Source organism: Homo sapiens, chromosome 1 (assembly GCF_000001405.40).
Source record: "Homo sapiens chromosome 1, GRCh38.p14 Primary Assembly".
Taxonomy (NCBI): Eukaryota; Metazoa; Chordata; class Mammalia; order Primates; family Hominidae; genus Homo; species Homo sapiens.
Genome location: NC_000001.11, coordinates 220,039,238 through 220,056,133, shown reverse-complemented (window position 1 = coordinate 220,056,133; position 16,896 = coordinate 220,039,238). Strand labels below are relative to the sequence as shown.

General features: G+C 44.8%; 1 protein-coding gene across 1 annotated transcript in view, besides 3 other annotated features; it reads left to right on the top strand.

Annotated features, from left to right (window-relative positions):
* Positions 9,418 to 9,487: an enhancer, noted in NCBI's record as "active region_2552". NCBI's record gives its function as "activates an Ori minimal core promoter by ATAC-STARR-seq in GM12878 lymphoblastoid cells {active_cell/tissue: GM12878}" and the evidence as "EXISTENCE:reporter gene assay evidence [ECO:0000049][PMID:35858748]".
* Positions 9,548 to 9,877: an enhancer, noted in NCBI's record as "active region_2551". NCBI's record gives its function as "activates an Ori minimal core promoter by ATAC-STARR-seq in GM12878 lymphoblastoid cells {active_cell/tissue: GM12878}" and the evidence as "EXISTENCE:reporter gene assay evidence [ECO:0000049][PMID:35858748]".
* Positions 9,629 to 16,896, top strand: part of EPRS1 (glutamyl-prolyl-tRNA synthetase 1) — a 77,906-nt gene continuing 70,638 nt past the window's right edge. Inside the window, exons 1-2 of the mRNA NM_004446.3 lie at positions 9,629 to 9,791; positions 15,865 to 15,949. Coding sequence (NP_004437.2) covers positions 9,746 to 9,791; positions 15,865 to 15,949 — 131 coding nt within the window. The 5' untranslated portion in view covers positions 9,629 to 9,745. The remainder of the gene's footprint in view (positions 9,792 to 15,864; positions 15,950 to 16,896) is intronic.
* Positions 9,919 to 10,476: an enhancer, noted in NCBI's record as "H3K27ac hESC enhancer chr1:220219000-220219557 (GRCh37/hg19 assembly coordinates)". NCBI's record gives its function as "activates a minimal SCP1, AML or CMV promoter by ChIP-STARR-seq in primed H9 embryonic stem cells {active_cell/tissue: H9 hESC(primed)}" and the evidence as "EXISTENCE:reporter gene assay evidence [ECO:0000049][PMID:30033119]".

Below are 16,896 nucleotides of genomic sequence, written 5' to 3'. Positions count from 1 at the left end.
AGTTCTTCACTCTTGCCCCGACCCCTCCAGAAATTATTTTACAAACCCATGAGGTGATCTTGATAATTGGCCAAGTTAGAAAATCATCACCTGAATCCACCTGCTTCCCTCTACGAATGGAGTTCTCTATCTGTAAATAGTGGACTAAACCTAATTTTTAAAAAATCTAAGTGTAACAAGAGAATAACTTTATTTTTATTTATTTATATATTTCTTGAGACGGAGTCTCGCTCTGTCGCCAGGCTGGAGTGCAGGGGCGCAATCTTGGCTCACTGCAGCCTCCGCCTCACGGGTTCAAGCGATTCTCCTGCCTCAGCCTCCTGAGTAGCTGGGATTACAGGCATGTGCCACCACGCCCAGGTAATTTTTGTATTTTTAGTAAAGATGGGGTTTCACCATGTTGGCCAGGCTGGTCTCGAACTCCTGACCTCAGGTGATCCGCCTGCCTTGGCCTCCCAAAGTGTTGGGATTATAGGTGTGAGCCACTGCGCCCAGCCCTAAGATAATAACTTTTTTTTTTTTTTTTTTTTTTTTGAGATGGAGTCTCACTCTGTCACCCAGGCTGGAGTGCAATGGCATGATTTCAGCTCACTACAACCTCTGCCTCCCGGGTTCAAGTGGTTCTCCTGCTTCAGCCTCCCGAGTAGCAGGGGCACACCACCACACCTGGCTAATTTTTTGTATCTTTAGTAGAGACAGGGGTTTCACCATGTTGGCCAGGCTGGTCTTGAACTCCTGACCTCAGGTGATCCACCTTCCTCAGCCTCCCAAAGTGCTGGGATTACAGGTGTGAGCCACCACACCCGGCCGAAAATAACTTTGAAGGTATTTTCTTCAGGTTCCTATACGAAAACCCAATTTATGTAAGTGAGATATGTAGGAGTCTAAATCCTCTCTCCATTACTCTTGACTCTACATTAATTACATTAGTTTATACCCTTATACCCCGTTATTTCTTCCCTAGATCCCTGCAGTGTCTTGACTAATCTTTCTGCCTACACTGTAACCCATCTATCTCTCTCTCATCCATTTATCACGTCATCTCCAGAGTGATTTTTTTGTTTTGTTTTGTTTTTGAGACAGGGTCTCGCTCTGTCACCCAGGCTGGAGTGCAGTGGTGTGCTTATAGCTCACTGCAGCCTTGACCTCCTGGGCTTAAGCAATTCTCCTGCCTCAGCCCCCCCAAGTAGCTGAGACTACAGGTTTGCACAGTAACGCCTGGCTAAGCCGGGCGTGGTGTCTCACGCCTGTAATCCCAGCACTTTGGGAGGCTGAGGTGGGTGGATCACTTGAGGTCAGGAGTTCAAGACCAGCCTGACCAATATGGTGAAACCCTGTCTCTCCTAAAAATACAAAAATTAGCCAGGCATGGTGGCACATGCCTGTAATCCCAGCTACTTGGGAGGCTGAGGCAGGAGAATTGCATGAACCCAGGAGATGGAGGTTGCAGTGAGCCAAGATCATGCCACTGCACTCCAACCTGGGTGACAAAGAAAGACTCCATCTCAAAAAAAAAAAAAAAAAAAAAACGCCTGACTCATTTTTGTATATTTTTTGTAGAGATGGGGTTTCACCATGTTGCACAAGCTGGTCTCAAAATCCTGGTCTCAAGGGATTCGCCCACCTCAGCTTCCCAAAACGCTGTGATTTTACAAGCGTGAGTTACCACACCGGGCCCAAAGTGATTTTTTAAAATCAAATGTAATGCCATTCCCCTTACTCAAAATATTTTATGGCTTTCCTTTGCCTTCAGGATAAAATGCAAACTCCTTATAATGATATATGAAGCTCTTAATGGCTTCTTCCTTCTCCAGCATCAACTCTGACCCTAACCTATACTGTAGCCATGCTCAACCATTTAAAGTTCCCCTAAAACACTATCTTTTCTCTTAGCATGGCCTCCATTCATTGAACAAATATTTATTGAGCACCTACTATGTGTTAGGCACTGAACATAGGTACTGAACATTCTTTCTTTTTTTTTTTTTTGAGACAGAGTTTCATTCTTGTTGCCCAGGCTCACTGCAACTTCTGCCTCCCAGGTTCAAGCGATTCTCCTGCCTCAGCCTCCCAAGTAGCTGGGATTACAGGTGCCCGCCACAACGCCTGGCTAATTTTTTGAATTTTTAGTAGAGTTGGGGTTTCACCATGTTGGCCAGGCTGGTCTCGAACTCCTGACCTCAGGTGATCCACCCGCCTCGGCCTCCCAAAGTGCTGGGATTACAGGTGTGATCCACCTTGCCCAGCCAGGTACTGAACATTCAACAGTGGATGTAACAGTGACCATAAGTCTGTTCCTTTGTTGAGCATGTGTTCTTGTGAAACAAGACAGATAATAAGTAAATAAAATTTTAGATTGTGGTAAATGCTATAAATGAAATCAGGAAGATGAGCTAGAAAGCAACTGGGGTAGGGTTGGAGGGTTGAAAGAGGATCTTCTGTACATAAAAATAGGAGTATGTTTTCCGTGGAGATGATGTCTGGTCAGGCACACTAAGAGCTGAGATTTCTAGTGTATATAGCAAGCAAACAACATCTCTGAGAAGACAAAGAAAAAGAACTTAAAGGAAGCCACAGTGGCTGAAGTAAAATGAACAAGGGGCAGAGTGTTATAAAATGAGGTTGGGATAGATCCTGAGGCAGAACTTGGGTATTAAAAATTATAAAAAAGAAATGAGATTGGGGATGCAGGTAGGGGTCAAGTCATCTACATCCTTAAACATTTTTAAAAAATATTTCAAGGATTGAGGGGAAATGGGAAGTGACTGCCAAAGGGTACAAAGTTTCTTTAGGGGATGATAAAATGTTCTAGAAGTAATTGTGGTGATGATTGAACTCTGAATTATACACTTTAAATAGGTGAATTTTATGGTATGTGAATTATATCTCAATGACGCTGTTAGAAAAAATAAAATGAGGCCAGGCATGGTGGCTCACGCCTGTAATCCCAGCACTTTGGGAGGCCAAGGCAGGTGGATCACCTGAGGTCAGGAGTTCAAGACCAGCCTGGCCAACATGGTGAAATCCTGTCTCTACTAAAATACAAAAATTAGCTGGGCGTGGTGCTATGTGCCTTTAATCCCAGCTACTAAGAAGGCTGAGGCAGGAGAATCGCTTGAACCCGGGAGGCGGAGGTTGCAGTGTGCTGGGATTGCGCCACTGCACTCCAGCCTGGGCGACAGAGTGAGACTCCATCTCAAAAAAAAAGAAAAAGAAAAAAGAAAATGGTCGTATGTGTCTAGTGCCTACCACACTGTATAGCATAGCTCTGTATCTTCTTCTCCAGGCTTATCTCATCCATTTTAATAACTACTCACACCTTCAGCAAAACATTTCAACTGAGCCCCAGATTTTATTATATTATTATACAAATATATTACAAATATTATACAAATATATACAAATTATATATTATACAAATTATACAAATATAATACAAATATTATACAAATCTGCAATTTGTAAAGGATATTTTCACCTACATATCTTACAGACATCTCAAAAAATCAGTCTAGAACCAAATAATTTGCCAACTCTGTTTCCTCTCTTGTCTTCCCTCCTTTGATAATGACATAACCATCCACCCATTTATCCAGCTGAAATCTAGGAATAAACCTAGGCAAATTTGCTTCTCGGCCGGGTGCAGTGTAATCCCAGCAATTTGGGAGGCTGAGGATGGCAGATCACTTGAGGCCAAGAGTTTGAGACCAGCTTGGCCAACATGGCGAAACCCCATCTCTACCAAAAATACAGAAAAATTAGCTGGATGTGGTGGCACACGCCTGTACTCCCAGCTACTTGGGAGGCTGAGGGATGAGAAGTGCTTGAACCTGGGAGGTGGAGGTTGCAGCGAGCTGAGATTGTGCCTCTGCACTTCAGCCTGGGTGACAGAGGGAGACTGTATCAAAAAGAAAAAAAATTAAAAAATTGCTTCTTTCACCATCACCTCCCCAAACATCTCGTCTGTCATTACTGATTTTACCTCCTAAATATATCTGAAACTTGTTCTCTATTCTCAGATCTTATTCCACTGCCTTAGTTCAGGCCATCATCTTTTATTTTCTCTCATATGGACTGTTGTAATAACATCTTAACTGGTTTCCCTAATGCCAGTTCTGCGCACTCCAAGTCATCTCCTATATTATTGTCGAAGTCATCCTTGTAAAATATGATCCTAATCACATCTCCTGCTCCTGCCTAAAACTTTTCACCGACTTTCTATCATAAGATAAAATCTTGCTCCTCAGCATGATATATAGAACTCTTCCTAATTTAGTCTGCCTACATTCCAGCCTTTTAGTCCCTTACTTCCAAAAGATTTTATATTCTGGCAATAACGAACTGGTCAGAGTTTTCCAAGTACACACAGCTTCATGACTTCAGGTTTTAGCTCATATTCTTCTTTTACCCCCTTTTTTCCCCCACTCCTTAAATATACTTTTTTTGAGGGGGGGGACAGGGTCTTGCTCTGTTGCCAAGGATTGAATACAATGGCATGATCATAGCTCACTGCAACCTTAAACTCCTCAAGTGGACTCAAGTGACCCTCCTGCCTCAATCTCCCACGTAGCTGGGACTACAGGCATAAACCACCACACCCAACTAATTTTTTTTTTTTCTTTGTGGAGACAGGGCCTTGCTATGTTACCTAGGCTGATCTCAAACTTCTGGCCTCAAGTGATCCTCCCACCTCGGTTTCCCACAGTGCTAGGATTACAGGTGTAATTACAGGCATACAGGATTACAGGTATATTACTGTGCCCAGCCAAATATGCCATCTTTTAGCCAAAGCTTTCCTTTACCATTCTGTCTTTCCTTCCTCACTCAACATGGATAATCATCTTCCATCTTCTGAGCTATCTTTGTACTTTCTGCAAAGTTTATTATTTTTACTCTCATTTCAATTTTTTTTTTTTTTTAGACAGAGTCTCACATCTCACTCTGTCACCCAGGCTGGAGTGTAGTGATGCGATATCGGCTCACTGCAACCTCTGCCTCCTGGGCTCAAGCAATTCTCCTGCCTCAGCCTCCAGAGTAGCTGGGATTACAGGCATGTGCCACCAAGCCCAGCTAATTTTTGTATTTTTTGTAGAGATGGGGTTTCACCATATTAGCCAGGCTGGTCTCAAACTCCTGACCTCAAGTGACCCACCCGCCTCAGCCTTCCAAAGTGCTGGGATTACAGGTGTGAGTTACTGCACCCCGGCCCCAAAATGTTTTTAATATGAACATATTTCTATTGCTACATATATCTCACTGTGTAGCAATTTTTATTTACCTTGTGTTTTTGTTTTGTTTTGTTTTGTTTTTTAGACACAGTCTTGCTCTGTTGCCCAGGCTGGAGTGCAGTGGCGCAATCTCAGCTCACTGCAACCTCCACCTCCTGAGTTCAAGCGATTCTCCTGCCTCAGCCTCCCCAGTAGCTGGAATTACAGGTGTGTGCCACCATGCCCGCCAGGCTAATTTTTCTATTTTTAGTAGAGACAGGATTTCACCATGTTGGCCAGGCTGGTCTCCAACTCCCAACCTCAGGTGATCCACCCACCTCGGCCTCCCAAAGTCTGTAGCCTTCTTGGTCAGGCACGGTGGCTCATGCCTGTAATCCCACTACTTTGAGCAGTTGAGGGAGGAGTATTGCTTGAGTCCAGGAGTTCAAGACCAACCTGGGCAACACAGACCCCATACCTACAGAAAATAAAAAATTAGCTAGGCATGGTGAGCATGCCTGTAGTTCTAGCTACTTGGGGGGCTGAGGTGGGAAGATCGCTTGAGCCCAGGAGATTGAGACTGCAGTGAGCTATAATCGTGCCACTGGACTACAGCCTGCTCTGTCTAAAAAAAAAAAAAAAAAAGTTTGGGCGTGGTGGTTCACACCTGTAATCCCAGCACAGAATCCCAGCACTTTGGGAGGCTGAGGCAGGTAGAACACCTGAGGTTGGGAGTTTGAGACCAGCCTGGGCAACATGGTGAAATCCCGTCTCTACTAAAAATACAAAAATTAGCTGGGCATGGTGGCACACACCTGTAATCCCAGCTACTCAGGAGGCAAAGGCAAGAGAATTGCTTGAACCAGGGAGGCGGAGGTTGCAGTGAGCCCAGATCATGCCAGTGCACTCTAGCCTGGGCAACAAAATGAGACTCTATCTCAAAAAAAAAAAAAAGGCTTCTTGAGGACAGGGACTTCACCTTTCATCTCTGTATCTCCTGTTTATGTACACAATAATAAGGAGTGAAAATCCAATACCCATTCTTGATTTTAAAAAGAATCCAGGGCTGGGCACGGTGGCTCAGGCCTGTAATCCCAGCACTTTGGAGGCCGAGGCGGGCAGACCACCTCAGGTCAGGAGTTCGAGATAAGCCTAGCCAACATGATGAAACCCCATCTCTGCTAAAAATACAAAAATTAGCTGGGCGTGGTGGCAGGTGCCTGTAATCCCAGCTACTTTGGAGGCTGAGGCAGGAGAATCACTTGAACCCAGGTGTCGGAGGCTACAGTGAGCCAATATCATGCCGTTGCACTCTAGCCTGGGCAACGAGAGCGAAACTCTGTCTCAAAAAGAAAAAAAAAAACCCTGTTAACCTAAGAATATATAAGAAACCAGCGGCAAACACTATTCTTTTTTTATTTTTATTTTCAGGGAAAGGGTCTTGTTCTGTCATCCAGGCTATAGTGCGGTGGCGCGATCATAGCTCACTGTACCTTCAAACTCCTGGTCTCAGGTGATCCTCCCATCTGGGCCTGCCAAAGTGCTGACATTACCAGCAAGAGCCATTGCAGCCAACCTAGCAGACACTATTCTTTTTTTTTTTTTTTTGAGACAAAGTTTTGCTCTTATTGCCCAGGCTGGAGTGCAATGGTGCCATCTAGGCTCACTGCAACCTCTGCCTCCTGGGTTCCAGTGATTCTCCTGCCTCAGACTGCCAAGTAGCTGGGACTACAGGCATGCACCACTACTCCAGGCTAATTTTGTATTTTTAGTAAAATGACGCGGTTTCACCATATTCACCAGGCTAGTCTCGAACTCCGGACCTCAGGTGTTCTGCCTACCTCAGCCTCCCAAAGTGTTGGGATTACAGGTATGAGCCATTACACCTGGCTTACAGACACTATTCTTTAACATTTTTTTTTTTGAGACGGACTTTTTGCTCTTGTTGCCCCGGGCTGGAGTACAGTGGCATGATCTCTGCTCACTGCAACCTCCAGCTCCCAGGTTCATGCGATTCTCCTGCCTCAGCCTCCTGAGTAGCTGGGATTACAGGCATGCACCACCACGCCCAGCTAATTTTGTATTTTTAGTAGAGACAGGGTTTCACCATGTTGATCAGGCTGGTCTCGAAGTCCTCTACTTAGGTGATCCACCCACCTCGGCCTCCCAAGTGCTGGGATTACGGGTGCGAGCCACCGTGCCCGGCCACAGACACTATTCTTGATAATGCAACATTAGCGGCATTCCCACTAAAGTCAGGAACAAAGCAAATACTCTCTTATTCGACACTATTATTGCTCCCATTTAACATCATTCTGGAAGTTCTAGCCAATGAAAGAGATAAGATATAGGTCATGTAAATTTTGGATAGGAAGAAAATGATATTTACCTAGAAAATCCAACATAACTAAAAAATGATTGGAACTAGTAAAAGCATCCAACAAGATGGTAACTCTAAGACCTAAGACTTTCTGCTATAAGTCCCACTATCCTGAAAGTAGGCTTCTTTTTTTTTTTTTTTTTTTTTATTGAGATGAAGTTTTGCTCCTGTTACCCAGGCTGGAGTGCAATGGCGTGATGTCAGCTCACCGAAACCTCTGCCTCCCAGGTTCAAGCGATTCTCTGGCGTCAGCCTCCCGAGTAGCTGGGATTACAGGCATGCACCACCACACCCAGCTATTTTTTTGTATTTTTACTAGAGATGGGGTTTCTCCATGTTGGCTTGGCTGGTCTCAAACTCTCGACCTTAGGTGATCCGCCCGCCTCAGCTTCCCAAAGTGCTGGGATTACAGGCATGAGCCACCGCGCCTGGCCTCAAGTCTCATGGGAGATGTAATCTAAGGGGCCCTCCCTAATGAAAACAAGGATGTCTTGGGGAGGTTAAGAAAAAGTGTAGGCGAGGATGTGGTTGAGATGGTTCTTGGAATCCATCCCGGGTCCCCGTACTTTAACACCAGCCCTTGAAATATGGGTGCAGCTCACACACACGAATGTGTGTATACACCTTGGAGTATCTCTGGAGCTCATGCATGCACGTCCGTCACAAAGGATTTGAAAGGGAGAATCAGATGAGACGCTGAAAAAAACACCTGTGGACTCCATGATTGGGGGCGGCATCGGAGGGTTTTTTTGTTTTGTTTTTTAGATCAGGTCTCTCCCTGTGTCGGCCAGGCTGGAGGGTAGTGGCTACTCACAGGCAAGTCCACGGCGAGGCCACTACAGCCTCATCTTCCTGGGCTCAGGCGATCCTGCCTCAGCCTTCTTAATAGCTGAGACTACAGGAGCGCGCCACTGCGCCTATCTGCAGTGATTTTTTGTTTGTTTTGAAACGGGGTCTCAGTCTGTCGCCCAGGCTGGAGTGCAGTGCCGCGATCTCGGCTCACCGCAACCTCCTCCTCCCGGGTTCAAGCGATTCTCCTGCCTCAGCTCCCCAAGTAGCTAGGATTAAAGGTGCGCGCTACCATTCCCGGCTAATTTTTGTACTTTTAGTAGAGACCCCCGTCTCTACAGTTTCACCATGTTGGTGAAGCTGGTCTCCAACTCCTGACCTCGAGATCCGCTCGCCTCCGGCCTCCCAAAGTGCTGGGATTACAGGCCTGAGCCACCGCGCCCGGCCTCTGCTGTGATTTTTTTTTTTTTTCTTTTCGAGAAGGAGTCTCACTCTGTCGCCCAGGCTGGATGCAGTAGCACGATCTCGGCTCACTGCAACCTCCACCTCCCAGGTTCAAGCGATTCTCCTGCCTCAGCCTCCCAAGTAGCTGGGATTACAGGGGCCCACCACCATGCCAGGCTAATTTTTGTATTTTTAGTAGAGATGGGGTTTCACCATGCTGGCCAGACTGGTCTCGAACTCCTGACCTCAGGTGATCCGCCCGCCTACACCTTCTAAAGTGCTGAGATTACAGGCGTGAGCCACCACGCCCGGCCTGCAGTGATTTTTAAAGAGTCTTTTATATTTCCTTTAACCATTATTTTCAACACGCAAATAACTCTTGAAAATACGTTCTTGTTTTGGAAAAAAAAAAACGGGGGGGAATGTATAAAATAAACAACGAGAAAAACTTCTCCCATTCCCAACGTAATCATGGCTATCGTGTGTATGCTTCCAGGACTTTTCTTTTTACATAAAGACAGTGCATGCTTTTGTTTCGTGCTTCACATAAACGCCTATCCCATCTTAAAGATGGTTTTACAACCTGCTGTTTTACGACCTGCTGACTTGACGAAGTGTCGTAAAGTCCCGTCCACTTCAGCGTCTTTCCCACCGCAGCACGAAAGGCCACGCAGGCCGTTCTAACCCTGGCGGCCAAGAGGAGGGGTAGCAGGCTCTGGAACCTGCGGGCGGGGACGAAGACGGCGCGCGACGATGTCGCACCGCGGCGTGCGCGGTGTCGGCAGTAGCTGCGGCGCAGGGGCGGAGCGAAGGCTGCGGCGGCGTCGGGTACGCGCACACGTTGCATCTTCTTCCTTTCGCGGGGTCCTCCGTAGTTCTGGCACGAGCCAGGCGTACTGACAGGTGGACCAGCGGACTGGTGGAGATGGCGACGCTCTCTCTGACCGTGAATTCAGGAGACCCTCCGCTAGGTAAGGGGCCGAGACCAATGACCTGTGTGGGTTGCATCAGCCAGGGAGGGTGCAGGGCGTGGAAGGTCGCTGCGCCCCGGCTTTGCGCAGTGGTGGTCACCATCTGGGATGTTGGACCTGCCCCTCGCCCCAGAATTGTACGTGGAGGAGGCTCCGCACCCCTCGCCCCGTGTCCCCGGCAGGTGCATCTGCTCCTGAAGATGGTTTTCCCGGGCATGGAGGGAGGCGCAGTGTGAGCCCGGGCTAGACAACACGAGACTCCGCTTCGGATCTTTTTCTCAGAGGGATGAACTCCCAGTCAACTCACCTCTCCCTTTTTCCCCCGGAGAGCGAGAGTTGCTCGTGGAAATAAGATTTTAAAACTTAAAATCCAATAGTCGTCGCTTCTCTTTTAGCATTTTTCCCCCAACTCCTTTTCTTACCTCCTTTCCTGTCCTGTCCCTCCTCTCAGGAGAAATCCTCAGTTCACTTGAGTCAAATTTTCCTTACGTTTTATCGAGTTCAGAAGAAATAACCCAGACGAGCATATTAGCATTTAGGATTTCAACTGAGGCTGCATTTATTTTTAATTAAATGTGGTAGGGTAATTGGGGAAAACACCCAGGTACACTGTAGACTGATGCGGTTGCTTTTACTGCACCCTGTGGATGTGTAGTAAATTTCAGAGTAAACATTGGATCTGTCACCTTACTGACACATCTTAAGTTCTGTTTGGAATTATTTTTTCGACATGACCAAGATTATTGTTGGTAGATTGCTTAGAATTTCTGCTTTTTCATTACTTTGGGAAATTACACAGAAGAATTTAAGTAGTTTGCCGATTTTTTTTTTTCTTTTGAGAGTCAGGGTCTTGCTCTATCGTCCAGGCTGGAGTGCAGTGGCGCTTTCAAGGCTCACTGCAGCATCGAACTTCCGGGCTCAGATGATCCTCCCACCTCAGCCTCCTTAGTAGCTGGGACTACAGGCGCGTGCCACCATGCCTGGCTAATTTTGTGTTTGTGTCTTTTTTGGAAAGATGGCGTTTCACTGTGTTGCCCAGGCAGGTCTCAAACTCCTGGGCTCAAGCCATCCTGACTTGGCCTCCCAAAGTACTAGGATTACAGGCGTGAGCCACAGTACCCAGCCTGACCTAATATTTGTTAATGCATATGTATGATAATACACACACAGTACTTTCTAATGTTGAAGAAGCCCATACCTTTATATACAGTTGACCACGTGGGGCTGATGAAATTATTCATTATATTCTCAACTTTGGTGATGTTTTAAGGTTGTTGAACAAAAACACAACTTAATAGCCATTTTAAACATTTAAAAGATGGTAATGTTTTGGCATATTGGTTGCAGTAATGGACTAACCGCACAACAAATCAATGAACTCTAAAAGGAATGGGTTTGATTCCTGAGCTGGAAAGGCATTAGAGTGCCTTCATGATTGAGAGCAAAGACATTTGGTTTCTGCAGACCTGAGTCCAATCCTGGCTGCCACTTACTAGTTGTGAAACCTTGACAAGTTCCTTATTTAGCTTCTCCCATAGTTTCCTTGTTTTAAGAAAGGGAGAATAATGTCTTCCAGATAGGATTGGTTGCCAGAGTTAAGTGAGACTATAGTTAAAGCTCCTGATACTGTTTTTTTTTTTTTTTTTTTTTTTTTTTTTTTTGGAGACCGAGCTCATTGCAACCTCTGCCTCCCAGGATCAAGCAATTCTTGTTCTCAGCCACACGAGTAGTTGCGCTTAGAGGTGCGCACCACCATGCCCGCCTAATTTTTGTATTTTTTAGTAGACACAGCATTTTGCCATGTTGGCCAGGCTGGTCTCAAACTCCTGACCTCAAGCAGTCCGCCCGCCTTGGCCTCCCAAAGTGCCAGGACCACAGGTGTGAGCCACCATGCCCAGCCTCCTGATACATTTTTTGTTACTTAGAAAATCACCCTGAAGGTGGCCTGTTTCTGTAGTGTATTACAGAACTCAGAATTCTGCCAGTATTCTGTGAAACTCTTGTCATTTTGAACTGTATGCCAGTTATCAAATATATCATTTTTCTAATTGCTCCTCTCCCTTTTTAATTTTTGATTTAATTATTCCCAGTTTAATTCAATTACATTTTATCTTTAAGTAATATAATTAGATGAAACATTTTAAAATAATAGTTGCATTGCTAGAATTTTCCTATTTTGTATGCATTCATCATGTTATATATTTAATGTTAATTTCAAACTTAAAATAAAGACCTTTTTCCCCCATACCACCCAAGAGCATACTGTAGATATGAGGCTTCAGTATCTCAGCATAACTCCAGTGTACATCCCCAACAAACTTGGAAACTCCAGGTGATCTCACACAAGCACCCAAATCAGGAAATACACTTGGATACAATGCTTCCATCTAATGCACAGACCCCATCCTTGTTCTATCATTATTTGTTACAACCAGACCCTCCATAGTGTTGAGATCAAAATCCCGTATTATGCTTTGTTTGCATCTGATTGTCACCTCTCTCCAGTTTCTTTCAGTCTGGAATGGTTTCCTAGTCTTCCCTTGGCTTTCATAGCTTTGACCTTTCTGAAGATAACAGGCCACTTAACTTGAAGAATATCCTCTGTTTAAGTTGTCTGATATTTCCTGGTGTCTAGATTCAGGCTCTTTGTTTTTGGCAGGAATAGCGTAGTTATTCCTTGTTCTTCATTGCAGCCCATCAGTTGGTGCATGAATTTAATTTTCCCATTACTGATTATTCTAACCTTAATTTTAATGGGCAGATGCATTGGAATCATGTAAATGTTCCACTTTGCATCAGATCTTCACCCACTAGTTTCAGTATCCATTGATACTTCCTGCCTAACTTGATTTTTATGATTTTATGATGTTTGCGAGATAGTGACTTTCCCATTCTACCATTCCTTCTGTATGTATTAGTTGGCATTTTTCTGTGAGGAGAGCTTTCTCTTTTTCCCATTTAAAAAAATCATAGCAAAAATACTCAAGAAGTTACAATTTGTATTATTTTCATTTTCTATTTAAAATTATTTTGTTTTTAAAAATTAGTTTTATTGAATTATAACTTGTATACAATTGTTCACCAATTTTAAGTGATTGACAAATGTGTACAATGTGACAAATGTGACAAGTGTGTAATCTACACCACAGTCATCATGTAGAGTATTTCCATTACTTCAGAAAGTCCTCTCACGCCCCTTTGCAGTCATTCCTTTCCCTACTCCTAGCACCTAATAGCGACTCATCTTCTTTTTGTCACTTTTTTGCTTTTTCTATAATTTCATATACATTGAATCATATTATATATATTCTTATATTCTCATATGTGCCTAGGATAATACTTCTGAAATTCATATATCTTTTTGTCTATGACAGTAGTTTACTTTTGTTGTTGTTGATGTTGTTTTTTGTTTGTTTGTTTTTTGAGATGGAGTCTCACCCTGTCACCAGGCTGGAGTGCAGTGGTGCGATCTTGGCTCACTGAAACCTCTGCCTCCCAGTTTCATGTGATCCTCCTGCCTCAGCCTCCCGAGTAGCTGGGACTATAGGCGCATGCCACCACGCCCAGCTAATTTTTTGTATTTTTAGTAGAGACGGAGTTTCACCATGTTGTCCAGGATGGTCTCGATCTCTTGACCTCATGATCCGCCCCCCTCAGCCTCCCAAAGTGCTGGGATTACAGGCATGAGCCACCACGCCCGGCCAGTAGTTCATTTTTTTATTTGCTGGATAAAATTTCATTGTATGGGTGTGCTAAAATTGATCTCATTTATTTCGATGTCATTACCCTGATTTGCCAGTGGAAGCCCCTCCAACCTGGACTCTGTCCTTTCTTTCTTTTTTCTTTTTTTTTTTTTGGGAGATGGGGTTTCATTCTTGTTGCTCAGGCTGGACTGCAGTGGTACGATCTTGGCTCACTGCAAACCTCCACCTCCCAGGTTCGAGCAATTCTCCTGCCTCAGCCTCCCAAGTAGCTGGGACTACAGGCACATGCCACCACGCCTGGCTAATTTTTTGTATTTTAGCAGAGATGGGGTTTCACCATGTTGTCCAGGCTGGTCTCGAACTCCTGAGCTCAGGCAATCCGCCTGCCTCAGTCTCCCAAAGTACTAGGATTACAGGTATGAGCCATTGCATGTGGCCTTTTTTTTTTTTTTTTTTTGGGGACGGAGTCTTGCTCTGCCACCTAGGCTGGAGTGCAGTGGCGTGATCTCGGCTCACTGCAACCTCCGCCTCCTAGGTTCAAGTGGTCCTCCTGCCTCAGCCTCCCAAGTAGCTGGGACTACAGGCCTGTGCTGCCACGCCCAGCTAATTTTTAGTATTTTTAGTAGAGACTCTATGTCCTTTCGACATATATGTTCTCTATCTTTGAGTACTCCTTTGCTTTCTAACACAATAAGATTTTTCAGGTTTATTTTGCACCTTCCTTGCCACAGCCCTGTTTCCAGTGGAACATGGTGTTTATAAACCAGTATCTGGGTGCTAGTTGTCCATCTTTTTTTTCAGACAGAATTTCACTCTTGTTGCCCAGGCTGGAGTGCAATAGTGCAATCTTGGCTTGCCACAATCTCCGCCTCCCAGGTTCAAGTGATTCTCCTGCCTCAGCCTCCTGAGTAGCTGGGATTACAGGCATGTGCCACCACACCTGGCTAATTTTGTATTTTTAGTGGAGATGGGGTTTCTCCATGTTGGTCAGGCTGGTCTCGAACTCCCGACCTCAGGTGATCCACCCACCTCAGCCTCCCAAAGTGCTGGGATTATAGGCGTGAACCACTGCGCCTGGCCTGTCTATCTTAATCAAATTAAGGGACAGAGGATTAATGAATCAATTAAGTGTCAAGAGGCCATTTTACACTGTTTTAGAGTTTGAGCTGTGGACTACATGAGGCTTGCATTCAGATCCTGACTGCTATATATTTTGTCAAGGACATTAGGCTGGTTATTTAACTCCTTTAAGCGTTACTTTCCTATTCTGTAAAATGGGGATGAAAGTATCTCTCATTTTTTTTTTTTTGAGACAGTTTCGCTGTGTCATTCAGGCAGGAACGCAGTGGTGCAATCAGGGCTCACTGCGGCCATGACTTCCCAGGCTCAAGCAGTCCTGCCACCTCAGCCCCCTGGGTAGCTGGGACCACAGGTGTGTACCACTATGCCTAGCTAATTTTTGTATTTTTTTGTAGAGACGGGGTCTCACTATGTTGCCCAGGCTGGTCTTGAACTTGTGGGTTCAAGCAGTCCTCCCACCTCAGCCTCCCAAAGTGCTGGGATTATAGGCTTGAGATATCATGTCCTTTGAATCTAACTCTACAGGTTACCCCAAAGATGAAAAATTCTAACTGTAAAGCATTTGGCATAGTGACTAAGATATAATAGTCACTCAAATACTATTAACGATAGCTTTTTTCTTTTTTTTTTTTTAGTTTTTTAAAAATCCAAGGTCAACATATTAACAAAAGCTTTTATATAAGGCACTATACTATTTTTTTTTTTTTTAAGACGCAGTTTTGCTCTTGTCACCTAGGCTGGAGTGCAATGGCTCAATCTCGGCTCACCACAACCTCCACCTCCCAGGTTCAAGCGATTCTCCTGCCTCAGCCTCCCGAGTAGCTGGGGTTACAGGCATGCGCCACCATGACCGGCTAATTTTGTATTTTTAGTAGAGACGGGGTTTCTCCATGTCGGTCAGGCTGGTCTTGAACTCCTGTCCTCAGGTGATCCGCCTGCCTTGGCCTCCCAAAGTGCTGGGATTATAGGCATGAGCCACCATGCCTGGCTGGCACTATACTAATTTCTTTTTGTCTCCGAAGGGAGAAGCAGATTAATTTCAGTGTCTCTAACTGAAAGCTGAACAAATTCAAAACCAGTTGGATATGCTAGTGAATGGATTCTGGATTCTGATTTGTTGCTGCTCTGAGACAAAAGACTACATTTTCTGTCTACAGACTACTGAGAAAAAAGTTCACTCCTTGTAGGACTTAATATTGGTTTGTTGACTCATCCTGATTGCTTTATGATTCAAGTTATAAATACTGCATTGCTTTTAAAGATAAAAAATCTTTTCATATTATTTATAGGAGCTTTGCTGGCAGTAGAACACGTGAAAGACGATGTCAGCATTTCCGTTGAAGAAGGGAAAGAGAATATTCTTCATGTTTCTGAGTAAGTGTTTTCATCTTTTTATTTTCAGTACTGATTGGCTTTTTCTTTTTTTTAGAGTTTTTTTAGAGACAGAGTCTCCCTCTTTTGCCCAGGCTGGCATGATCATAGCTCACTGTACCTAGAACTCGTGGACTCAGGATCCTGCCATCCCAGCCTCCCGAGTAGCTAGGACTGCAGGCACATGCCTCCACACCTGGCTAATTAAAAAATGTTTTTTGTAGAGATGGGGTATCACTGTGTTGCCCAGCCCAGTTTCGAACCCCTGGCCTCAAGCCATCCTCCGGCCTCAGCATCCCAAAGCACTAGGGTTAAAGACGTGAGCCACCACGTTTGGCCTCTGAATGGCATTTAAAGAAATATTCGGCATCGCCGGGCGCGGTGGCTCACACCTGTAATCCCGGCACTTTGGGAGGCTGAGGCAGGCGGATCATGAGGTCAGGAGATCGAGACCATCCTGGGTAACACAGTGAAACCCTGTCTCTACTAAAAATACAAAAAATTATCCAGGTGTTGTGGCACATGCTTGTAATCCCAGCTACCTGGGAGGCTGAGGCAGGAGAATTGCTTGAACCTGGGAGGCGGAGGTTGCAGTAAACCGAGAACGCGCCACTGCACTCCAGCCTGGGTGACAGAGTTAGACTCTGTCTCAAAAAAAAAAAAAAAATCAGCATTAAATGTTGTATGCTTGTTTTACTTACTAATTAAGTAGATTGTCCCTAGAAAGAAGTATACTTTTCTTTATTCTAAAAGAATTGAATCTAGAGACTTAAATTTTTCAGCAAACTGATTCCCCATGTAGTCTGTTTAAAAGGAACTAGAGGTCTAGCTTTGAGAGCCCATCTGCAACACCAGCTCCTGAAATGAGGCAGGGTTATTTAATTGGACTGGCCTACTCCCAGAAATGAGTGACTGGTTTAATGGGATCCCTTGGCACCCAGCTGTTGATT